Genomic DNA, 26,493 nt, shown 5'->3' on the forward strand with positions numbered 1-26,493 from the left:
CCATCTGTATTTATGGCTGATGATTAACCTTATGCAAATGCTGATGTAATTCTGAAGTGAACTTTCTTGCTGTTCTGTGAAGAAGCAATGCTTTGAATGATCAGGGATGCTCTGCCCCATGTTTTGGAAATGTATGTAAAGATATATTGATATATATATTGGGCACTTTCTTTCTTTATCCAGGTATAATATTTGATCCTACAAATTTGAAGTTTTTCGTAAGTTGTGACAATGTGAATATTTCAAACTCATAAAAAAGTAAAAAAATAAAAACAAAAAAAAAACACCTCACTTTCTAAACTCTAGGAAATTGACCTTGGCATCCTGAAAACTGAACCAGACAATTACATTTGGTTTCTGTGTCTTTGAGAATAGAATGACTTTTTAATTTCTTAAAGATAAAAGTATTTATACTTTTTGTTTGCAAACTTAATAAATGCTCATTAAAAGCAACAGAGAATTAAATTAGAAATATATAAAATGGAAAATGAAAAGTGCCTTACAATCTACCATAATCTCATTGCTAGAAACAGTAATTAAAGTTTAGGGTGTATCTTCCAGATATACAAACAACATATTTTTAATGGTACCAAATTATACATAGTTTTTCATAATCTGCCTTCCTTAATAGTGTGTCATGGTGTGTCATGGATATCCTTCTAATCAAATATATAGAGAGCTATTCTTCAATTGTGTTTTTGTTTTATGTCTGTATAATTTATTTTGCCAGTCCCTTATTATTTTTCCCCTAAATTTTCAGCTGACAAATAATGTTGCTATTAATATCCTTTTACATATGTCTTTGTATATTTTTCCATTTTTTCCCTTTGATACATTTCTGAAACAGAATCATTTAGTTAACGTTGCACATATTTTAAATTTTAATAGATATTTTCAAATTAACACCTAGAAGTTGTGCTATCAGCTAAATTTCAGAGTAAATCTTTTCACATACTGTTACCTACCTTGGTATAATAAACTTTTTATTTTTTTTTCTCTGTCAGAGAGGAAAATAAATTCTTGTGACTATGTTAATCTGAAATTCTTGTATTTTTTAATATAATGCTGTGTATCTTATGTTTATTATCCTTTTAAATTTTCTCTTTTATAAATTACTTGTTAAAGTTCTTTGCTAATTTTTAAATTATGTTATTTATTATTTGTTTATTGATTATTAAAAGCTCTTTGCATAGTGAAGTCAAACTTTTTCTTATCATTTATGATTTGGAGATTTGCTAAGACCTCCTCTCCCAAGATTATAAGCAGAGTAATTTTTAATTAAAAATAAAAAACTAGGGATAAAACGTCAAGTGAAAAATAAAAAGTAATTAGGGATTTACTGACAAAAACATATGCAATTGGAACAGATTACAGAATGGTCTCTAGAGAAGGAGAAACTTGCTCAATTTCCGAACAAAATAGAAATCAGAACTGGAATATAAATTGGATGAGGCGAGTGACCTCTGTCTTGTTCACTGCTGTGTCCCCCCATAGCAGCACTCGGAACACAGAAGTTGCTCAATAATATTTTTGGAATTAATGAATGAATGCATACATCTAAGCTTATATATAAAAGAATACATGAAAATTTGAATTAATAAAGCTCTAAAAATCAGTATTACTTCTACAGTTACTGTAGAAGTAATAGGCAACACCACCATTACAAAGGCAACTTTACTTATCACTGTGGAACTGGTAATAGAAGGTTTCAAATCCCTTTTTTATTGAGGCATTGGTTGAAGATTCCCAATCTTCCTGTTTGTGAGGACATTAAATTTGTTCCTTTTATAAACTTAGTCTTAGAATAATATAACTCCAAGGAGATTTAGAGAACTGGAAAATAATCAACACTATCCTATGGAGTCGTGGAAAAACTGGGCTGGTCATTAGAATATTTATTATTTAGTGATTTATTCCCAAATGATGACAAAATTGTCTTCCTTTGGGCTTCTTGAACATGTTTCAATATTTGACAAAAATGTAAAGTGCACTGGAAAAAGTATAGAAGTTTATCTAAAGAATTAACTTATTTTTAGAAAAGGTAGGTGAAAGAATAACATTGCTTTTATTTTAACCCATTGTTTTGTTATCTTAAGATTATTATACATATTTATGCCTAAATTTTGAGTTCCAACTTATGAAAAAATAGAGTTAACATTCCTTTTTTTTGTTTTTATGTTTTTCTGTGTCTGACTTTTCTTGAATTATAGAAAATAGCTTTTTATAGGCTGTGTTCTCTAGCATGTTTTCCCTGAAAGAATAATCGATTTTTATTAATATAATAGCTAATTTTAATTCTATGTTACAGAAACCCCTTTTACTTTATATGGTATTTTATATAGTAATGTTTATTTTCTATACAAACTCGCTAGGATGTTTTATATGTTTTATATCCCATTGAATTCTCCCTGAAACTGCACTAGTTTACAATAATTTTATTACTTTATTAATTAAACGTTTTCCAACAAGCTAGCTATGGCATTTCTTATCATCAAGGGTTCCATTAGTTTTTAATGGTGTGAGACAAAATTACCATTTACCCACATGCAATTTAAGAAGCATCATTAACACGAGAAAAGCACCAGGTGGGATTTCTAATAGTTACTGTTTCTCATTTTTGTTTTTATTTAAAAGAATCACTGGTTTTGAGTTTTTTGTTGCTATATTGCCAAATCTTCACTTGGATTTTATGATCGAGATAATTTAAAATAATGTTCTTCTATTTCCTTAGGCAGTATTCAACAATATTTTACTTATGTGCACACAGCTTCAGTCTAGCACTTTTTTTCTACACAGTCGAGTGAGTGTTGTCTGCACAGACAACAGAACAAAGAGGGATCTTCATGAACTCCATCAGATAGTTTGGCCAAGGGCTTGGCAGTGCCAGTGGTTTGGCCATAAACTGTCTCTGTTTTCAGAGAAGTATGAACACCAGGACTGAAAAGATCCAGGGGTCCTGGAAACCAAAATAAACTCTAGGAATCTTGCAAAGTGGACACTCGTTAATTTTTTTCCCGCAGATCATATGAACTCTTTTCAAGGGTTCACATGTCATAGGTTAGATAATGCTTATCCTCTTGCAGACTGGAAAGTACTCATTCCTGTAAAATGAATATAAGAGAACCAAGCAGGAATATTCAGGCTGTGAAGTTTGTAATAACATAGATACTCTCAGAAGATTGGGAAAATACTGATATCTTGTAATTCAGTGTATTGTAAAACATATAGAACATAATACAAACCCCAATTGCCTATAAACCCTCACTAAAAGAGGCTTATTCATTTAAGTCTTCAGAAAAATTTGTATCAGCCATTAACAAAACAACAAAACAAAACAAAATCCAGATTTGCAAGAAGGGGTGTTATAAATCTATTTTGGGCAATTATTTCAGCTTTTGCTGTTATTGGACAGTTACTGTTCTGGCATATAAAGGAATTGGGATAGGGAAGGAAAATCAGTTTCACAAAGTTAGGGTTTGGGCAATACTTAAACTCTTGGACACAAAATAGAAAGATTTAGTAAAACTGACTAGTATTTCAAGATTTTTTCATGCAAGGGTAGGATATATTAAACAATAATTTACTCACTTGTCTCAGGAAAGGCAGATTAAAACATCTTTAATCATCTCCTAGAAAATGTTCTGTAAATTGTATTATACCTGAATAATCTGCTGCAAAAAGTGAAGGCAAACTGTTGACCTGATAATCTAGCCGTCATGTCTTTCCTTTCTTTCAAGTGGTTTGTAAGTGAATGGATGGATATTTTATATTTAGTACATTGCAGGGGAATGCTGTTTAATCTACTTTCAAATAGAGTGGTTTATTTTGAAAGATTTTTATGTGACAGTATTAAATATTAACTCAATTTAATAAATATTGATCATTTATTATAGGTTTGTTGTATAATAAGTATTATATATTGGTTAGTACACCACATTACATAAAAAAATATTTGTTTCATGACAAAGAGAATTGCTGTAATAAGGGAGTTTTAAGCAAAAAGTGAAGAGAAAAAATATGAATATAATAAAATCTTCTAAAAGTGGACATTTTGATACATAAGAAATAGTTTACTTTTTAAGAGTAAGATATTTTATATTAAGCCAAATCTGCACTTCCCTCTTATACCAATCTACATTTTTAGTTAATTTCTCTATAAATAAGTGTCTGTAAACAGAAAGTACTCAAGCTTATTTATAACAGTATTGTATTTGTGGCTTTTTTTTTCCTGCACAATGATCATATGGTAGATGGTTCTACTGTTAATACCACATATCAATTCTATATTTGTGTTGTCTACAAAAGGAAAAAAATCAAAGTAATCAATGAGCTTCTGGGTTGCATTTTCTCTGTAGTATTCCTCTATTTTGAATTCGACCTGCATCAGCTATTTAATTTTAAATGTGTCACTTTGTCCATCACTTTGAATGAGAAATGTTATTTGGATAAATTTCTTTCAGCATTGGTGTATAGGAAGAATTATTCTATTAATCCTTCTCTGGAACAATTATCACATAGTTTTGCTGGAGAAGTTGCATTTTATTTGGCTGGCACTTATGAACACTAGATTTCCAGGGATCCAGTAAAACATTTTTGGTGCTGCTGGATTCCTGGTGTTTGTTCTATCTCTATTCAGTATGCTTTTATTGTGCTCGAAGCTGACAGAAAATTGCTATAGCCAATCACCAAAAAGTGCTTATTTTTTTATGATGTTTTATTTTCATTGCTCAACATTAACATAATGAAACTTCAGATTTTTCTATTAAAACAATGCAGTACATGTAAAGTGTCATGATGAATGACAATTTCTTCTGATATACATTTTGGTGCCTGTAAAATAAAGATTGACATTAGAGCTTCCTGGATTATACACTCTCCAATTTTATTTAGAGGCTTTATGAAAAGCAAACACATACTACACATGCACACACATACACACAAACACACACACACACGTATGTTTAAATAGTATTCCTCACCAAAGGAAAAGTAATAAAAATTACTTTTTAGTGCATTGTTTTTTTCTATCATTCATTCAACATCTATTAAACTTCCATTGCCAGAAAAAAAATCTAGCCCTTACTATTTTGAATTGATATCTTCCACAGAATGGGATGCCTACAATATGTGATTTTATGTCTTTGTAGATTCTCAAAGGCAGTACACTTGGTATGGGATTTTTTGGAAGCAACAACCCATTAATAAAATGCTTTAATTTTATTTTGTATGGATAGCATAAGGTTGGTGTACTATAAACAATTTTTTGAGTTTACCTATGATGGGCTTTAAATGCTTTTGTTGTGAATCATTTTTAATAAGATGACACATAAATTAAGAAATAATAATGGTTATATGATTAGGCAGGAAGAGGTGTGTCATGAAAGTTTAAAATTAGAATCCAAACTTTGTGGAATGAAACTTTGAGACAAATAAGTGGTAGATGTCAAAGAAAAGAGGCAGAAGAGTTAGAGGGATGAGGACCTTCAACTTTTGCTGTTATGTTGCACATCCCTTGTTTTCTGTCTGCATAGTTTGGGAATGTGATTATACACTTTCCAGAGCAGGGCATATTCAAGAGGAGGAAAAATCAAAGTGGTTTAGATGGAAACGGCTTTGAAATGAGACACCTCTTGTTTCCAGTCTTGTCTCCAATATCTCTAAGTGACCTTTGGCAAGTCATTTCACCTCTCAGACTTGGTTAACTTTATTAATCTGCAAACAGAAAAACAGGGTTCGATTGTTGTAAGGTTCAAACGGGACAAAACAACAATAATTCTTGCCACAGGGATGGGCACACAGTGCTAGTCAATGAATGGCTACTATTTCATAAGGCATGTTTGTAGCTCCAACTCCCAGGAAATACATAGTGATCAATTAGGTGACTTGGTTTGTGACATTTATTTATTTATTGAATTCAATTATAGAACCAGAATTTTGATAATTACATCTATTATTCTTGGAAATAACAGCTGGCATTTATTGAGTATTTACTATGTGCCTGGCATGGTACTAAGCATGTGTGCCTTGATGCGCCTGGTACACATGTACACACACACAAAAAAAACACAAAACACGCACACACACTCTTACATCTATAATCTCATTTTATTCTCTTCTAACATCTATTATGTAGCTACAACTTTATCACTATGTTAAAGATGAGGAAATGCAGGCCAGAGAGATTAAGTCTCTTATCCAACATCTGATAAAAGTAGGATTCAAATCCAGGTAGTCCCAGAGTCCACATATTTAACATGAGTAAAAAAGTGCAGACTGAATGTTAAATAAACACAAATAATTCATTTCAGCGATGAGTCAACAAGAAGTTTACAGCACTGAGAAAGACGAGTCAACAACAGAAGGAAAAAAATCCAGAGAAAATGGCACTTGCTGCATTGGAATGAAAGATAATCTGCAGAAGGTAAATGGACAGGAGAGATTTTCATCATTTTAAATGTATTTGCAATGACCATGATTTATATTAAAGTTTCTCTTCTCTGAGGCTTAGTTTTCTCAGCTGAAAATGAGCTTGTTGGACAATTGAACTCTAAGGTCCCTTCTCTGGTTCTATTCTACATCACTTCATGAGTTCTTATCAGCTACAAAGAACACTTTCCACTTTTCCATGTATGTTTCAGAGAAGATTCCAAATAATGTTTGATAATCTCTAGTCATATCTCAGAGCTGTCAGTTGATAACTGACTCCATTACTTCGGTACCCATTTTCCAAGATGTTAAGAGGAGTTTGGTGGTGCTGGAGAGAGACAGAGACTAAGAAACTTGGAGACCAAGGGGACCCCTCATTAGCAGTGGAAGCGAATATCGACATATGTCAGCAGAATTCTTTCTCACATGGAAACTCTTCTGTGAATATCCAACAAAGAAATCCATGTTAATGGAATCTTGTCATATTTAATATTTTAAGCCAGCAACCTAACATTTCCTACTGAGAATTGATGGATTGGCTAAAACAGAGTATTTTAGCCCCATTTGAATGATTAGCTTAAGTCTCTGCCCAGAAAAAGTGTGGTAATCAAAATCTTATCCATTGAAGCAGCCTGTTTTTTGAGGTTTAACAGCAGCCTCAGAAATTGGACATTTTATTTCATCTGCACAAGCAGTGTCACAAAAGATGGTGACACAGTGACAGGCCTTGTGAACATGGAGCCTGGAGGTTGGAGGAAGGGGCACTCGGTGCGTTTACCACAATCAGGTAAGGGATGTGGTTAAATGGACCTAGAATCACACAACTTGGGCTCAAGGTCTGGGCCCAATCTTCAAGAGTATCTCTAAGCCAAAGTTTCCCAACATGGTGATAACTCGTAGCATGTGCTATGAGGTAACACATGGTATCACATACTGTCCTGAAAAGTGAGATGATGTCATGGAAGTGCCTTGTAAACCGTAAATCACAGATGTTAAGTTGTTCTGTGGCTGGCTTCATTGTGAGAGGGTTTAGGTGAAGGCACTTTTACACAACAATAGCAGCATTGCCAAAATAAAATCTGCATAAAAGCAAAATAAGTATCATAGAGATCTATGGGCATAAATAACAAAATAATATGCATCAGAGTGTAGTGGAATTTAAGTGCTGGAGAGGTTATGTGGGATCAAAGAGGAAAGTTAGCAATAAAGTCAGCCAAGGTACATTTCTGTATCTACTAACTTATCTTAACATTTTAAAGGATTGGAACTGTGAGGAATGAACTAATTGATGGAATTTTGGAAAATAGAAATGTAGGAAACACAATTACACTGGAAAGTGTTGAACATTTTAAATACCTGAAATTCTAAATGCTTAACTACATATTTATAATACAAATTGCCATGAATATTACTTTTGATTATGGTAGAAATTACCTTACAACATTTTAGTGTCTTCCTTGTACCTTGAATAACTATCTTAAGCACTCGAATAGAAGTCAGGTAATATATTAGCTCATCTCATTAGTGGACTTTACTGGTCACGTATCTTAGATAATATTAAGCAAAGAACCAAAGTGACTTATAGCAGAGTTTCTTGGCCATATTGACGTTTCAGACCATGTAACTTTTTGTGGTGGGGGTATCCTGTGCATTGTAGGATGTTTAGCAGCATCCCTGGTCTCTACTCACTAGATACCAATTGTACCTCTCAGTTGTGACAACCAAAAATATTCCTAGATATTGACAAATGTCCTCTGGAGGGAAAAAAAATCATCCTTGTTTGAGAGTTACTCCTCTACAGTGACCACCTTCAGCTTTCATGACTCAGAATTCCAAAATTTCTAGGTTATTAAAATTAGTCAGAGATATATTATAAAGACTAAATGCTTATACATTTAAATGCTTTGTGTTGCTAACATTTTGAATTTAACTCTTACTGTCTTTTTTTTTCTTTGGTTTTGTTATGAAGGTGCACTATTCTCTCTATGGTTAGACAAGGTACTTCTGAGGGACTAGGTTGTACGTCTTTTTGTCTTCTAGCTCTGCAGTCTTTTACATTTTCATTTACCTTCTGTGTTTTATTATATGTTCTCAGGTGACTCCCAAAGTAGATAGAAATTGTGAGTGCTAGTGAGATAGCTGCTCACTAGCACTTTGAAATGATTATGTCCCGCCCAGCTACATCCACATCTGCATCTGCATCTACCTCTGACCTCCTCTGTTTTTTCTCCCTCTATTGATTGATTGTTGTTGCTAGCTCACTGTCTTCTATATACCCAGATACCTCTTAGGGTCAACTTTATTTCCTTATAAGTCTACAGCCTCTCCCCTAGTTATTCATTTCAACCAACACTCTCTCTAAGAAACGCCCCTCCCCACTTCAGATTTTTCTGGGGCAACTATTGTTATCTTCCACCTGCCCTTCCTGCCTCTGGTCTTTCTATATAAGGTACATTTTATTCTGTTATATTAATATCCCTGAAGCATTCCCATCCCAACAAATTCTTTAGCCTTCTAGGGACTAACTCTAACTTATTTCTTCAATCCTATATCTTACCACTGGAACTAAAAATAATTTCTCTGTATCCTGCACTTCTTTAGGACTTCATCTCTTAATTTCTTCAAATACTGTCATTTGATCTAAACCTTTTTTTTGTGTGTTTTTGATCATTTAGACTAACATTTGAAAAAGAAACCCATATCCCCTTTAATGTTCAATGTATATATGGGAACCCGAGAATCTAGAACTTAAGTACTCTAAAGTTACTTTAAAGATTATTTTAGAGAATTACAATATATAGATGGTTATAAAATACTTTACATGGAATTCATGCATCCCTGATGTTGATACTGTTTATTTTGCTTCTTGGAATTTAACATACAGCAGCCTTCTTTACCTCCTCATCTTATGGTGGGACATGAATATGTAAATGTAGTTTCCATATTTAAAAAAATTGTGCATAAGTCTTAATCTGCATTCCACTTCAGTGGGTCTTAAAAATACTTGCTTAAGAAAGGCTGACTCTACAAAGGTCAAATATGGTGGTAACATAGAGAATGAGAGGGAGACATGATTATTTAGTGGCACTTATTGCCACAGGTACTGGTCCACTTATTGGAGTAGAGTGAGCACATATTGAACTTGTTGTTTGCCGTCAAGAATGCTGAGCAGTTCCATGGGAGAAGGTCTTGGCTTGAGCCCAGGTTGATAGTAAATGTAGGCCATTACTAGTTGATGTCTGTTTGATGGTCTGTATGAAATGAGTTGGTGGTCTCAGTCCAGTTATTAGAAGACAGGTGTCTACATCTCAAAACATCATGACAATTGGCACTAATTGGCATCTTTGTTGGGAATCTCAGCAGAGAAGCAGAGGAATAAATGGGGGGAAAGGAGAAGCTGTTGTTACCCTAGATAAAGAAGTCTTTGGGGATATAAGCAGAAAATAATTACCTACTGCTCAAAGAACAGTATTTTCAGAAGATCTAGACATTTCCAACATGGAAAGGACTTTTTTCAGTTATTTGTCCATCATCTCTCTCTTATCTTCCTTTCCATTCCCACATTCCTCTTGCATTTTAGAACTGGACATTTGGTCCCACTTTCTCGTTTCTTATCTCAGGGAACATGTTCTGGGATGAAAAACATCTGCTTGGGTATCTACCATGTTCTTTCATCAATTCAACCTCAGACTTCATGTTCCTGGTTTCTCCCAGGACTTATGATACCTCAGTTTTCGTGCACATACAAGAGCTGAGCATGTTGGTTCAGTTGCGACCTGTTAATGAATTTTTCTTCTGTGCTGTACTTTACTTGGTGATACTGGGATACATGTCTCTTACATTCTGCTGTCTCTCCCACTATTCTGAGCTTTCTGAGATAGGACCCTTGCTTGATTCATTTTAGCATTCCTGCAGTGCACTCATTAGGTACTCAGTTAATGAATGAGAGAAACAATGAATAAATGAATGAATGCATTTTTAGCCTTTGGAGACACATACTCGTATCTAAGAGTGAAATGAAAAGTAAATATGAAAGAGACGGAGTCTAAGAGACAGAGTGGCAGGAATTCATCGTTCTATTCTACTTGGTGCCTTTGACATTCTCCCACTCTCATTTTGAATGGTTGCTTAGTGTTCTAATCTATGCAAGCCATCTTATACAATTGCTTTGTAATCGGCATAATTCAGCTTTCTAGCTGAGGAGCCTGCTCCGATGTATGTCTATAAGGAGCATTCTGTATTCTCTGTTAGAGTTTATAATTTCACCACTGCTATATCCAGTGTTTTTCATTGCATGTGAAATAATAATTTAATGAATGTGATTTTGATTATTTTAACCAATAAAATTATTTAACACAAAGGGAAAAATTTCTTAAACACGAGAAACCATGACTACATTTTGGCACTGCAAATAAATATATTAGAACTGTTTTGCTCATGTCTATTAGAACTGGGTAAATGTTTCTGAGTATTTTGTTATTCTTAAAATATGATTTATTATTAAAATGTGAAACAGTACTATTTTTAAAACCATAAACCCAAAATAGCTGTCAAAATGTGTCAAAAAGAGAGCTTTGATTCTCTTTTTGATTATTTAATTGAATAGATCTACCAACATTTAATATAGGACTATTAAATATAGCAAATGGTAAATATAAATTAGTATATATTGATAAAATATGTGATAAAACACATAGATAATAAAATTTTTTAATTATAAAATTATTTGTTATGATTTTTGACTAGGAAAATGGTTTCCCTTTTTCTATATCTATATGTGAACTTTAACTAGAATATTTCCCTATTTTTTTGAGAAAAAATGTGTCACATGAACATTGATTAGAAACAACTTTACAAATGTGACAATTTTAATGTCAAGATATGTTTCCTAAGTTCAACATTACTTGTTTTGAACATTAGACTGCCAAATAAGCAGCAAATTTTTACAAATCCTTTAAGTATTAGAACCAAATAACCCTCGTATTAGTTGTCAAGAGTGTGCCGTGTATTACTGGGAATCAGCATTGCAGAGTATTTATAAAAGGAAGGGCAAAACCAGATAGTCAGGTTTGTGACATAGGATCATGCACGTTGGAAATCAAGAGAAATCAATTCAGATTTCTGCAATCTTTAATAGCAGAACAAGAAACACAGAGCTACCATTGCACTTATTCATTCTTTAATTTCTTAGGTAATTTAGAATATCTTGAATTTTTCAAGTATGAACTAAATGATACATGTTAGGTAGGATTATTACCAAGATTACAGCTTAGGGCAGCGTTCACGTGCAGATCAGTGCTCTTAGGTAATTCAGACCAGTTTCAAGCAGTCAGTTTCTGCTAAGCACTTACCAAAAATTATTTTCAGTAAAGCAAATGACATTTCAAACCCAACATAGAATTTCTATTAACAGTAAGCAATTTGTGAGCTGATCAATGTGGATTCACTATCTAAGGCATGTCAGTATGTTATGCTTTCATGCCTCTTGATATCATCACTGGAAAACTCTTTGGATTTATTTCCTTGATGCTCATTGCAAGAGTCTCTAGAAAGCATAGCTTATAGAATGGTTTTAAATTTCATCCTTTAATTCAGTTTATGGGCCCTCACCTTCAAAGTTTTTACATTCCCTTAAGACATATTTGGGCTCGCCTTTCTTTTTGATAGAGTTGCAATTAGTCCTGGGAAGCAGTTGTTTCCAATTAACAAGGAGGAGAAAATCACAACTGAAGTTTTATAACAAATCATTAGGCATTCTGATATCAGACCAGTGTATTGTGAATTTTTGTAATAAAAATCTGTTACATATTGTTAAAAACAATCCTGCCCATTCTTATTTATTTAGGATCATTACATTTTAGTACTTACTGGCATTTCCTGAGAAGATAAATATTTTGGTGTTTTTGAGCTTCCCAGAGGGATAGAATTTCTACCATGCACATACACACCATTTTGCTGTAGCTCATTTTATGTCACACAAACAATAAAATGCAAAATACTCATTCTAACACTGTGGCTTGCACTGAATGGTCACAGCATTAAGTTAAAGTTAACGCATTTTTAATAAAGGAAATCAAAGTCTTTTTTTTTTTTTTTACAAAAGACAAGATAACTATTTTAATGAAACAATGATCTTATTCATCTCACAATCATGTTATAGTTTTGAATAGTGGTGGTCTCTGCCTCTGTAACTTTTTTAAAAATAGATGTATTATGATTACAAAAGTTTTGATTCCTAACATCTAAAACTGAAATATTTAATTTTTTTGTGTGATTCCCTGTCTATATGACAAATTGTTCATTGTAGATACCGGTAAATATATCTGAGGAATAAGAATATGCTAAAACTTACCTTTGGTAATCATAGACTCTTTAAAAAGGAGAAAAATGAAAACTGCTATTTAGTAGCTTTTGATAAGATGCTGCAGTATATAGGGAGATAGCCTGTAGGTTCTTTTTATATAGTTTAAAACATAACCTCCACCCCCCACACACACAGATGTAGACAATATACATTTGTTGTGTAGCTTGTATTGATATTAATGGAACTTACGTGAGCATATCCAGGTCTAAAAGGTGGGCCCTAAGGGCTTTAAAAGATTCTGCTATAGCTGAGAAGGGAAGCTAATTGTTTCCTTGATTTTAGAAGTCAGGTCGACTTTCACAGTGCAAAAAGCCAGCATTATGTAATGAAAATATCTCAGTAAATTTCATCAATAGGTATGTATTTTTCATGTTCAGACTTCAGGTAAAAACTGAACAAACTTTAGTTGAAGAAGATGGGTGAATACTGTAATTTTTGTAGAACATCATTAACTAGGTTAAATAATTCCTTTGCTATTTGGGAACCAGATAAACAAGTTTCTGTAGAGCCCTTTATTAAGTGTGTGTGTATCTCCCTTCGTCTGTGTGTTTGTGTGTTCTGGGGAAGGGGATGAAAGAGTAGCAGGAGTTGTAAATTAGCAGTTTGTGCAATATGCCTATATGATCAAAAAATTTATGTAGAATATTACACTGTTGTTTTTCAGATATATTTTCCCTCCAGATGCAGCAAAAAAGTTTTCTTGATGTCTAATCAAGCAATGCAGTTTTTTCAGATTTGAAGAACTCAGAAAGTTAGTTTTTTTATTCTTCTTCATTTAAGTATTATTTTTTAATTGCAGTGTATTAAACATAAAATCTGGTACAATCTTTAAAAATAAATAGGACCTAACTATAAATGGGCCCTGTTGTGTTTTTATCTTTGACAAGCAAGTAATTGCTTCTCAAATTTATCAGTTTGTTTATGCAAAAACCATTTACCAAGCCTAGCTCAAAAGCATCAATTTCATCATTATCATCTTATTAATTTAGCCAAGCTATAACACAGCTGATTATTCCTGAGTAATATCCTCTGCAGCACATCATGTGTGGCAAAACCATCTGTACAGTACCTATTTAATAAATAAACCCTCGGCTAAATGTCTCTGTTTATTGAGAACTAATGTTTATAGAAAATATAATGGAACTCAATAAATAACTCAGCTTCATCAACCTGCATATGAATCAGTGAGAAGAATGCTGACATCATCACCTTTCAAGTACCAGAGAAAGCAAAATTACCCAAAAGAGATATAGAGTCAGTATTAAGGCATTAAAACTGCAATGAAGGCATATTAATGCTTAAAACTTCATTGTTGGCAGTGGAATTGGCACAATGGACATATTTTATAACTCTAGGAATACTTAGGCTTTATGGCTGCTTCTTTGTTGACTGCCTTGCACTTAATGTAGTTTTCCACTTTAAATAAAAAAAACCCTCAAGATCTTAAAAAAAAAAAACAAGAAAATTGCTGATTCTAAGCATTCATTTTTAAAATAATGCAAACTGCTGATTCCAATTGTTCAGATTTAAGAAAAAAAAAAGCCAACTTCTTTAACTCCATGCTTCCTGAATTCATATTAGTAGTAACTAGATATTTTGTGGCAAAGGCTTTTTAAAAAGTCACAAGTATTTTTTTAAAGAGATTATTCTGAGTGACATCATTAGTACTGAGAATGTGAGAAGGATTTAGTCATTTTGCAAAGAAAGGCCAACTTAGGTTTTGAAACATTAGTAATATTCATGCCCAGTATATAAAAGTGCACAATTATTTAACATACTCACATTGATTCTCGTCACCACACTATTTTAAAAATTTGCATTAATAACTTAAATTTTTAAGCTAGTATGAATCCAATGAAGCAAAGTGGATTATTTTGAAATAGATAATGAAAATGGAGCCATTGGTTACAACCTGTTTCAAAAGTCTATCTGTCCTCATTTTACTTTCCAGAAATAAAAGTTCATTGACAGAGAATAAACATTGTCCTTATTCAAATCCAAGGAATGGACCTTATTGATTTTTGAAAGCAACTCTATTTTTGTGCATCAGTATGGCCCACTTCACCTGGAAGCTTACTTGGCATGTAGCTTAAACTCTTCCCTTCTTCCAGTGCCCACAGGACTTCAGATTTTTACTGAGGCCCTACCCTGTTATAATTTAAAACCTAGGGAATTAGCAGACGCTGACCTGTTGCTAGGGACATGCGGGCTCATTTTCCAGGCCTGGTTGCTACTTCCACTCATGCAGCTCTGAAACCCACCTGGCTCACTCTTCTAGGTGAAGATGGATATGTTCACACTTTGAAGACATTTTTCTAAGGCTACAAGATCTTTGTAAAGTTACAATTAGGGAAAAGAGTTGTGTATATACCTTTCAAATGTCAATCTAAAGGCAGGATGTTGTTTTTGTTTTTGCTGCTTTTCAAAACATTTATTACAATGTCTCATGAGAGAAGGGGGCAAAGTGTGATAACCCAAGAGGGGTTACGTCCTGTAATCTGTAGATATCAGCTTTTTTTTGCCTAGACGCTGGATTCATTATGCTAGATGTACAGTTGTGTGTGTGTGTTTTTTTTTTAAGTGTTTCAATTTATGCAGTGGGCTCTGTGGTTTGTACAGAGACTACCCATTCTCCAATCCTAGGAAGGGTTGAGGGAAGATTCCTAACAGAATCTTCATACCTCCTAAATGAGGCAAATGCCTCAAACAAAATGAATACCACATCAAAGGAGCAAGAAAGATAGTGAAATGCTGCCAGTAATTGCCTTTTGGGGTAACTCAGCTTAAACAACTTAAAGCTTGCAAACGCTGCACCCACACTACCCAGAAGAATACTTTTGTCCGAGGGTTTAAATTGCAAGCTAGGAAGCCAACAACTCTAAAACCCCTGCTTGGGAGCCAGAGCACGCAGTGTGCCTTTGACATATGTCTATAAGGAAACCTGTGTCTGGCACATCAGCAGTTTTGAATAGCTCGGGTTTGGTGACCAAAGTCAACACCCCACATATTTTGTCACAATTAGACTCAGATCAGCAAAAAGGCTGTTGGATTGACTAACTGGGTACATCTACTTAAGATGACCCGTGGTTTAAAAGAGCAGAAAGAAAAGAATGCTAGCCAACGCTCTGCCTGCAAGTGGCCTATGCCCAGAGGACTCCTGAGATTAAGCAAAGTAAAATTTTATCTGTTTGTTCTGAGTCTAATTCAGTGTCTAGCCTCTCATTGTGTAATCCATAAAGTCATTTTCATCCCATTTTAAGAAATCAATTATAGATTTCTGATGAGAGGTGATGTCAGACCTTACCATTTTGAAGCAAGAAATCAAAATACCAATTCTAGTCATCCACCCTGAGATGGGTAACAGGGGGCAGGTGCATCTCTGCTGTATGTGGAAGATAGAGAGTATGTCTCCCATAAAATGTGAGTGATTTGGACATATTTGAATGCATTGGCCTAACATAGCTCTTAAATCCACCTTGGTCTAGTCCTTAGGACTCGTTAAGGGAGTAGTAATTTAGCTTATATCTGTTAAGAATCAATGCTAGGGGCCACTGAATGTGACAGACCACAATTCAAAGTTATAATGCCAAAGCTGAAGATGCAAAGACAGGCCTTTCCTATAGGCTGGCCATAGTCTCGGAGAAATCTAGGAATTGGTAAATCTGATGTATATCTGTGGAAAATTCCTGGCTTGAGAAAGGAGAAAAATTATGAAGTAGGTGGCACATTTTTGACTTTCTTGCATTCTATGGTGGTAGCAACTCTATAAAGAATAGAAAAACGTATAGTTTCAAAGGCAACATTGCAATAAATACCAAAAAGAAGATGGTAATATAATTGGATGATTTAAGGCACAGTAAAATATATTCATCTGTCATGCAACAATATTTATCTAATCATGCAACAATATTTATCAGGTGCCTACATTGTGCTAGGCATTGGGATACTATAGTGAATATAAAGAGATACTGTCCTAGTTTCACAGATGGCATGATCTGGTGAGGAATTGAAAGGTTATAGAAATAAATGCAAAATTCAACTGTGAGAAAGAATATGAGGAACAGATGCAAGATGGAGGTGTTGAGAATATTTCCAGCAAAGAAAATAGCCCCTTAAAACAACCATGGTGGTATAGCAGTCCTGTGGTGCACTCAGAGAACTGAAAGAATAGTGTGAATGAACAGTAAGAGAAATCTGGTGCAAGGTGAACCTGGAAAAGGTGGCAGGGTTTGATGTTAGGAATTTTGGTCTTTACAGCAATGTTAAAGTTAATCCATATTATCCACGGCCTTACTGTTCACTGGAGAACTTATTACTGAGTCCCATGGCAGAAAATATTTGCCATCAGCTGATACTAAAATATTATTCACTTCTTCAACTGATATTTTATTGAGCACCTACACTATGCAAGGAACGAGCATTGTTAATATAGTGGTGATGCACATATGCATGGTCCATGCTGTCATGAAATTTTTATTCTAAGATAATTTTTTATTTTTAAGCCACAGGGTCTCACTCTGTTGCCCAAGCTGGAGTGCAGTGATGGGATCATAGCTCACTGCACCCTCAAACCCCTGTGTTCAAGTGACCCTCCTGCTGGAGCCTCCCAAGTAGCTAGGACTATAGGCATGTGCCACCACACCCCACCAATTTTTTAAATTTTTTTGGTAGAGATGGGGTCTCACTACGTTGCCCGGGCTGGGTTCGAACTCCTGGCCTTAAGTGATCCTCCCACCTCGGCTTCCCAAAGTGCTGGGATTACAGGCATGTGCTACTGTGCCCTGCCAGAAAAGATAAACTTTGAATACAGGTGTAACAAGTGTCATAAAGAGAGAGTGCAGGGTTTATGACAGGGGAGTCATTTTGATGGTGTGAGTTGGGGATGTCACGCTACAGGAGTGATTTAAGCTGACGTGTGAAATATGTATTCTGGCTAGACTGTCCACTATCAACAGTGAGAAAGTGGTAGGAGGTAAAGAGAAAGAATGAAGGGCTTAAAGCCTTAGTGACTGTTTATAGCTAAATAGTGGAAACCAATATGATTTTGTTAAATGCTGGATATGGCAGTTGCCTTTTTGACATTTTTCCCATGAACCTGCAGGAATACATGAGTTTTGAGGAGTGAGGATGTCTTTGTGAAATTGCTCATCACAACACACACAGTTTAACCTGGATTAGATCCCTCAAACACACTGCCAGCCAACGGCCACTCCTGCCCTTCAGCAGGGCTCTGTGGTAGGTATGAATGCTAAGACCTGAGACCATGATCTTTTTTGACAAGCCATTTTTTGTCCTGGGATCCCAATTAAATCCATGTGCATTCTGTCTTTGGGGTCAGGAGGATTAAAGTTGGGGATGGAATGAGGCAGATAATTATGACTACCTCTTATTTACTCCTTGTTTCTCTTTTGGGGATACTCATATGGAAATACATAAGCTATTTTTCTTCCGTTATCCTCCCGAGGAAAGAAGGAAAAGGAATGGGTTGGAAATCTTGGGCTGAAGCAGAGAGAATTGTGGGCTGTGCTGAGATGGTGCTTTCTGGTTTATAGACTTCCAAAGTTTTCTAGTTCTCATCACTGTTCTGTCAAGGAGTAAGTAGCTCTGAAGCTCTCCATAATATCTGTTCCTCCTGGGTTGCAGCTCTTTTGTATCAGAGCTCAGACTAAAAACAATAGCTGTAGGAGGAGGTATTGGAATAAATGAAAATCAATCAAATACTGCAGAATCCTGAGCACTCTGCATCTGCATGGCTCAGACACTACTGCACACAGCGTAGGAGTTTGTCTTGTGTTCCACATCATCCTTTGAAAGGGAATAACTCTGCACTTCACATATATACATGTTTATGGCCTAACATGTCCCACTGTCCTAGGCCTTTGTCTTAACACATTACATCCATTGTTTCTACTTTCTACTGGTTGAGTGAAAATAGATGGTTACATCAATGCATATAGTAAATTGATGGTGGCCCAGGTAATCAAAAGTCTTGAAAAAATAATTTTAAGAAAAAGATGCACTTCATACAACCTTTTTTTTTGACTTTCAAGAACTCTTAGTTTAGTAAAAGCTACTCACTACTTTTAAGAGTTTTCCATTTCATTCAACTGTTCACACTGCTGAACTGAGTGACATGGGTGCCACTTTTCTTGTAGAAAGGAAAATATAAGATTTACAAATATTTTCTGACATTTTTGATAAAATGTACAACATAGTTTAGTTGAAGAAGGCATTTCCTACTTAATGCATTTTAAATTATTTGTGTTTACTTTTACCTCTTTCCTATAAATCTGTAGTCATTCTGGCAAGCTAAGTAATAGGCATCCTGGTGGTTACTGCTCATTAAAAGGGAAACACAAGTTTGACTCGAGGGAGAGGGCTTAGGTGGGAAAAGCCATTCCTTATACAGTGATGGTCTTCACACAGTATGGTGATAAAAGCTCAATGGAACTACTCTGGGTCATTCCTTTATCATCATTTGGTGTCGTTTTTCCTTCTTCATTTGCTGATAAAGCATATTTTCTAATGCCAAAGATGGATTACTCCTGCTATACCTGAATTACAAATACAAGGGCTGTATCAGATGCTGTTGTTTTAGCATCAGTGTAAGCCAGAATAAGTATTTAAAGATATTGCAGTAATGATCATTCATAGAAAGAAAGTAGAACTTTGTTAGTGTCTCTGTGATTTAGAATTCAATGAAGGAAAGAGCTCCCAAGGTATAGAATTATTATTGCTTTTTAATAGCATCTGAGTAATTTTCATTTCTTTTCTTTGTCCTTCAAGTGTAAGAAAATATCAAGAATATTCCTTCCTTGTGGGATAAATCTCACCTACTTTTTTTGTAATTTTTGCTTGCTTCTTTGGAATGGAACTGAGTCTAGGTAGTATAGTTACATTAATGTGGGCAGTTTGATTTTTAAAAAAGTCATTTAGTCAATGGTCACCACCTAGTTGGTCAGAATGTTCTCAGGGTGATATAGTAAGTGCTGGCCATAGTTAACTTAATTAGCTGACAAACCATGAAACCTCTTGGTCACCTAGTCATGTAGACATGGTATTAAACTACAGACCACTGATGCATATATCTGAGAACTATGTGAAAGCTTTTATTGACTAAAGGAAAGTTTACAGCACAGTGAAATTATATTACTTAATCTGTTAAGTTATGTGTTTTTATAAATACTTTGGAAATATCTCTCTGGTTAGTGCTAAGGAAATCTTCAAGTTAATATTAAAAAATTCACCAAGTTAATGGTTTTCAACCATATTATACCCAATTATCCATCACAAAAATATATTTTATGATGCCCAATATAGTAATCTTAAATGAAATTAACAGATAATACTTACCTACTTGTGCACATCATTGAAAGAGGATCTATGATGTTGTAACTGTAATATGTAGGAAATATAAAAGGGAAGTATATAAGGAGATACTATGTATGTAAGCTGTAAATGCTCTGACACCACTATTCTAGTAGATGGAAATACACACTATAAGTCTAAATTGCCACTTAGGTACAGGATTATCCCTCCTGAGAACCATTCCAGGAGTCAAGGGGTTTCCAGTGGTCTAAAAATATGTCTATTTTGTTCTTGCTCCATACCAGTTCTAAACATGGCATTTGGCATGGAGTAAGTGCTCAATAAACATGTATACCATGAATGTTGAATGAACAAAAGAAACAAAACAAATCTTTCTCCTGCAAGAATTTATTTTCTGGTTAGAATGTCAGGTCAGTTCAGTAACACACAAAGCGAGGGTTCCTTGGTGCCCATGCATCCCAAACGGGCTGCGTGGTGCATGCTGTGGGGAACTTGAGGATGAAGGCACCTACCCTGACCAGCTGTGAGCTGAGAAGGACTGCTGTGGTCTCAGGTCATCCAAGCAGCAGGCCAGTTATGCGTCTCAACTACACTCTGCTCAGCGCACTTCTGTGCCAGGTACAGGCCCAGGTGCAGGGGACAGATAGGTTAATAAGGCCCTGTGCTCCTGCAACTGCCATTTGAAGGTGTTTCCAACATCAGAACGTGTCAGAAGCCCTTCAGGGATGGTTAAATGAATATTCCCAGGCCCCACCTCAGAGATTCCGATCTGCATTTTAACAAGTTTCAGAAATAAATTGTGATGTAAGTGGTTCATGGACCTCACTTTAAGAAACATCAAATGAGGTTGACAATAAACCTAAAATGTGTTCTTTATGAGAATTTTCAATATTTGGGAAATGAATGGCAACCATGGGTGAATGTTGAGAATTCTTTTGACAGGAAATTTCTTACATTCATTTTATAAATCAAGTGAATGCAAAAGATGAGAGTGTATGTTTTTAAAACTTCATTTATAAGACTGATGCTGTTTGTAAGACATTATTGTTTTAATATTCATGTGATAGTAAAAATGGTCTTGATTATATGTGATGCACTTATATTTGTTTTCTTTTGTTAGTATTGCAGATGGAAAGGTAAATGGAAATATATTGAGAAGTATAAGATGGTGTTATAAGGCAGCTTTTAAGGTTTCTAATATCTTATAACACCATCTTACACTAAGATTATTTCTAGAATTTTAAAAAATCACCTTAAAATTCCTTTTTAAGAAACACCTTAGGATTAGCCAAAAGTGTTTATGGTTTATCTCCTTAGTTTAAGATTTTATTTTTATGTACCTTGTACCTTTTATGTACCTTGTCTGAAGTTTTTAACTGTAATCAAACTGTATGTATTAAAAACATACACTCTTATCTTTTGCATTCACCTGATTTATAAAATGAATGTAAGAAATTTCCTTTCAAAAGAATTCTCAACATTCACCCATGGTGGCCATTCATTCCCCAAATATTGAAAATTCTCACAAAGAACATATTTTAGGTTTTTAAGTGTAATCAAGTTTTAAACTGTAATCAAAATAAGAGTATATCTGATGATACATGCCCTTTTAGTAGTATATATCTGACAATATTTTAAATATAGGTAGCTATCTTAGTTACAGAGAAGCCTACATACCAAAGACTAATACACGTTTTTTGACTGTATATATTTGAATGCATTTTTAAAAATGTAATTGGGTGAAAGCAGAATAAAAGACTTTCCAAGTTTTATTATGTATATTTAATAGCTCAACATAAGGGGGTAAATGGACAGTTACTCTGGTAGAAAAAGACCTATAGCTGCGGATAATTCCATTATATCTCCCTCTAGGCAAGGGGACCCACCCCCACTGATGCCTCCACACACTCCCAGGCCTCATCCTCATGAAAACAAATCAACCAACCAACCAAAATAACCCTAATTTTGAATCACAGATCATTAGCATTACTTACAACCATATTCAAATTAATCACAAATTCACATAAAAGCAATAAATTCATAGGTCAATTAATAGCTTTGTCTACATGATGTCAAACAAGGGTTTTATTACTATTTCTGAACTGAATGTTTTCTTTTTTAAAAATCTAGTTTCAATGCTATGAATACTTAGCTTTTTAAAAATCAAATAATTTACAGGGCCACGAAGATTATAGTTTTCTTCTTTTAAAATTAGTAATCATCTTAGCACATATAAAGTAAACAAAATGAGAAAACAAATGTTCAGTTTATTGTCTTAAGCTTGCAAATGATAAGAAGGCTGCCTTTTTATTCTTTGGAATAGTTCTATAGGTTATTAAGATAACAGAGGACTAGATGAATCTTTAGTGGGGTACGTATTTACAGAAAGTTTTCTAAAAAATGCTTTCTATGGAGAAAATCTTTTTGCTTAGATGTGCTATTTTGTGGGTATAAATTCAACTGGGTAGAGAGTATTCTGAACAAATCCTGAGTTGTTCATTTGTTAAATTTGATTTCCTCATTTTTTTATTTTATATATGACCACTGAAAAACTACAAAACAAAAATTTGGTTTAATTTCCATTTAGATCTTTTCCAAGGAGACTCAGTAATAGAAGTGAGCAAAGGTCACATTTTTGAAAGAAACTTTCTCTTTCTTATGTATTCTCAGAGTGTTGCCATCATTTATAAAGATGACCCAGCACATGTTATATTCAAATAGAAAAATGATTATAAACATCAACATGTGTAGATTTCCATAGACTTCCTGATATTCACAGGATGTGTAATACTCAAGCATCAACGTGTAGATTTCCATAGACTCCCTGATATTCACAGGATGTGTAATACTGAAGAAATGAGGTACGGTTACACACACACAGGCACACACAAAAGACTCAAGCAGAGCAGAGTCACGAGCAGTGGACAGTTGAGTATGGGACTGACTCAAACGAAACTGATAAAGTGAAAGTGTGTGAAGGCTATGCCTGGTGAGATCGGCCCATGGTTACACCAGATACAATAATAGGACACAGGCGAAGCTCCCTTCTGCCTCATGTTGCACTGAGAGTCCAAGAAAGTTTGGCAAGTAGACCCTGAAGTCCTGTCCAGATAATCCAAAATCATCACCCATGGAGCTTAATTCTGAATTTCCGCCCCAGACGAAACTCCGATTAAATTCAATGAGTGTTTCTCATTTTAGAAAGTTGTGCATGTGCATGCCATATTCTTTTCTTAGATAAAAACATACCCACAGCTCCTTCCATACAAAACGAAACCAAACACATTTAGAACACATGTAAGCCATTTCTCTATGGGAAAGGCCATTTGTGGTTAACACAGAAAGTATTTATGGTTTCACTGTTAATTGTGGTTTCTTTGTATTAGCCAAAAAAGGTAGCGTTTTTCATGTTAGAAACAGTATGAAAGCAATAGCCTTTCTAAAAAATATCCGCATTTTCTGGGGCATAAGGAAGTAACTGAATTTATGATATCTTCTAAACACCAAAGGAGTATATGCAACATAAAATTGTGTTTTCAATTTGAATAAAAGTTTATTCAAAATTATCTTAATTGTACTTTTGTACATTTCCACAAGATAAGACCATATAATCAACATTGTATATTTAAGGCATTTGATTTTTTATTTGTATTTGTTATCTAGGAATAATAACATTTATTTCTGAATCAATGCTATTCTTGTAAATTATTTCCTTTCTTCTGAAAATTGTTAATTTTACAACGTGCATGTTTATAAACGTGGATTCATTTACCTAAATCAGTTGGCTGACCTGCCTAATCCCTTCCCTCTGTCTTCCTCTTTCTCTCTTCCTTCTTTCTTCTCCCCTACTCTCCTCTCCCCTCCCCTCTCCTCCCCTTCCCCTTCATTCCTTCCAAAATGCAATACTGCATTTTGGCAAGGATTCTATAATGAGAGTGAGTGCATTCAAGAGGTTAATTACATGTAAAAACAGTCAGTTTCATTAATTCGAATGTACTATACATTTTTGGGGCCTATATGTTAATATTTTTTAACAGACATTTCCACAAGTGCTGCATTTTAACATCTGAATGCATCATGTATATATTATTAGAAGAGGGAAAGAAGAGACAATTGTGATTATTAGGTCAATAACCAGAACACTTAGGAAGATTAATATAGCAAGCAGTTTTTTGTAAGTACATTGGCTTTTATTACCTACAGGAAAGAATATATTTTCTAATTTCATTATTATGCAATTTAAAAAATTTTAGAAGAAGCAATATATAAATATTTGATTATATCTTATTAAATTCCATAAGAAAAAGAAGCCATCAAAACATGACCCTAATTGTCTCTTTCTGAGTGTGAAAAACATTCTTTATGAAAATGCTTGGAAGTGTAATTTATCAATTTAATCACATACATTTATGTATATCTCCTGAGTGTATGTGAAATTGAGTCTAAATGAACATTTTATGATGTTAAACGCATTTTTCCAAAGATCTACATTTATTCAAAGATCATGTAAAAGGCTGTTAATTTGGATAAATACTATTCTGTCCATTGCTAAGTATTTATAAAATTCTGAGTTTAACTTAAAGACATCAAACATATTGGTACATTTAAATTGCACCAGTATTCGTTTCTAAAAATCTTTAATAAAAAATGTAAAGGTTTTGAATTATATTTTGTCTCCTTTCTCTTACAAATGGAAAATTAAACTGGAATATATTGTTATGTATGAAATTTATTAACTATGATGAGGTTATATACTATATAACTTTCTGCCTCTCAAATATTATTGTAATATATTTTATATAGTGTGTAATATTGAATCTTAGTGTAGTAATATATTTTGACATTTATAGATTTATATATTTTTAAATCTATTCATAAACATAGGATATGTTTTTCATGTCTTTTTGTGATTTTTAGTTTGAAAAACATAAACATTTTAAGCGATAACATTCATAGAAGGCAAATACTTCTCTGTGGAGTCTTTACAAAAAGGAATAAAACCTCAAACTAGAATTCATTTAACTTCATTTTAATAGATATGTTACGTTTTATTTTTGTTGCCGACATCTGAAGTAAATAATTTCTGAATCCAGGTAGTTGTTTTTGCACAGCAGAATAAAATATCTTTTTTACTATTTTACTATTTTCATTTGTATTCAAATATTGATATGAAGTAACCAAAGAACAAAACAGACTTTACTAATACATTCTTCAGTTGCGGGCAATCGGTGGTGAGAGTCAAAAAGAAGAAAAGTCCAAACAAAGGTTTTTCATTTCTTGCTGTTTACAAATATGTAAAAACAAGAATTCATAGTGTCCATATATTTCCTAGCCTTTAGTGTCACATTTTGTTCAGCAAAGGTTTCTTACCTTTTTTCATTGATGCCTTATTGAGAATCCTGAAATACTGCTGCTCAGTTCTTTCCTCTTCATCTGCTTGCATTGTGCATATCAGTCTGTAGGGGGCACTCCTCAGCTACCACAAAGACTTGTGATAAGTCCTTTCTGTGGTCTGAAATGTATTTAATACTCATTATTTTATCAAGGCACTTAGTTTAAAGAGAATTCATAGTTTATCTTTAAAGCATATATAGCCATAATTGAGGAAAAAAACCCTCAGTTTCAAGATGGGCATTTGGATTTCCGAGGATGTTAATAAAAATTTACAAAACTGCATTGAACTTTGGTAAATTAGTACTTTTCAGAGCTTCCTTCTTTCTATTCTTTTCTTGGAGCTCAGGGTGGATTTTATAATACCCAGACTTTTATTACTATACCTCGAGTCTTGTTGTCTCTTTGCCTTGAGGGCTCCCAGAGAGCAGAATGTAGAGTGATCATGATTTACATGTGGGAAGAGGAACCACAGAGTTTTTACATAGAATTACATGCCCTACACTGGAGCTTATAAACAGCTTATCTTTAACGGGAGTGAAATATTGAATTTAAGATTGTGTGTGGCCTTCTCTACTCCCTTTCCTCCCTTTCTCCTCCCATCTCCAACAGAATCTACTTGGGTGGCAATTCTAAGAACCCCTTCCATAATAATGACGTGGTCCTCTCACATGGCTGTATCTTCCAGGTTCACATCAGCTGTGGGTGCAGCTGCTTTGGCTTATTATAGATTTCCATAGTTACCTCTCAGAGAGACCAGCAGCATTAACTGGTCCAACACGTTGGGGGTTGACTTTCCACATTCAGCCTCTTACTTGCCTCCGTGCCAGTGCTTCTGCGTCCTGCTGTTACCATGGTTGTACTCTACTCACCCTCTTTGAGACCAGCCCCTCCTCTTGATCAGAGAGCCCCTCACTCCTCTGGAGCCTGACACTGGATGCCACTTCAGCAGTTGCTTCGTCCTTTTCCTTATCATCAAACGT

General features: G+C 34.4%; 1 long non-coding RNA gene across 1 annotated transcript in view; it reads right to left on the bottom strand.

Annotated features, from left to right (window-relative positions):
* LINC01923 (long intergenic non-protein coding RNA 1923) overlaps positions 1-26,111 on the bottom strand; it is a 75,735-nt gene extending 49,624 nt beyond the window's left edge. The window contains exons 1-2 of the long non-coding RNA NR_110267.1: positions 25,897-26,111; positions 25,490-25,631 (exon numbers count right to left, since the gene is read on the bottom strand). This is a non-coding gene — a long non-coding RNA (long intergenic non-protein coding RNA 1923). The remainder of the gene's footprint in view (positions 1-25,489; positions 25,632-25,896) is intronic.
* Positions 26,112-26,493: the final 382 nt, after the last annotated feature.

This window comes from Homo sapiens, chromosome 2 (genome assembly GCF_000001405.40).
Source record: "Homo sapiens chromosome 2, GRCh38.p14 Primary Assembly".
Classification (NCBI taxonomy): domain Eukaryota; kingdom Metazoa; phylum Chordata; class Mammalia; order Primates; family Hominidae; genus Homo; species Homo sapiens.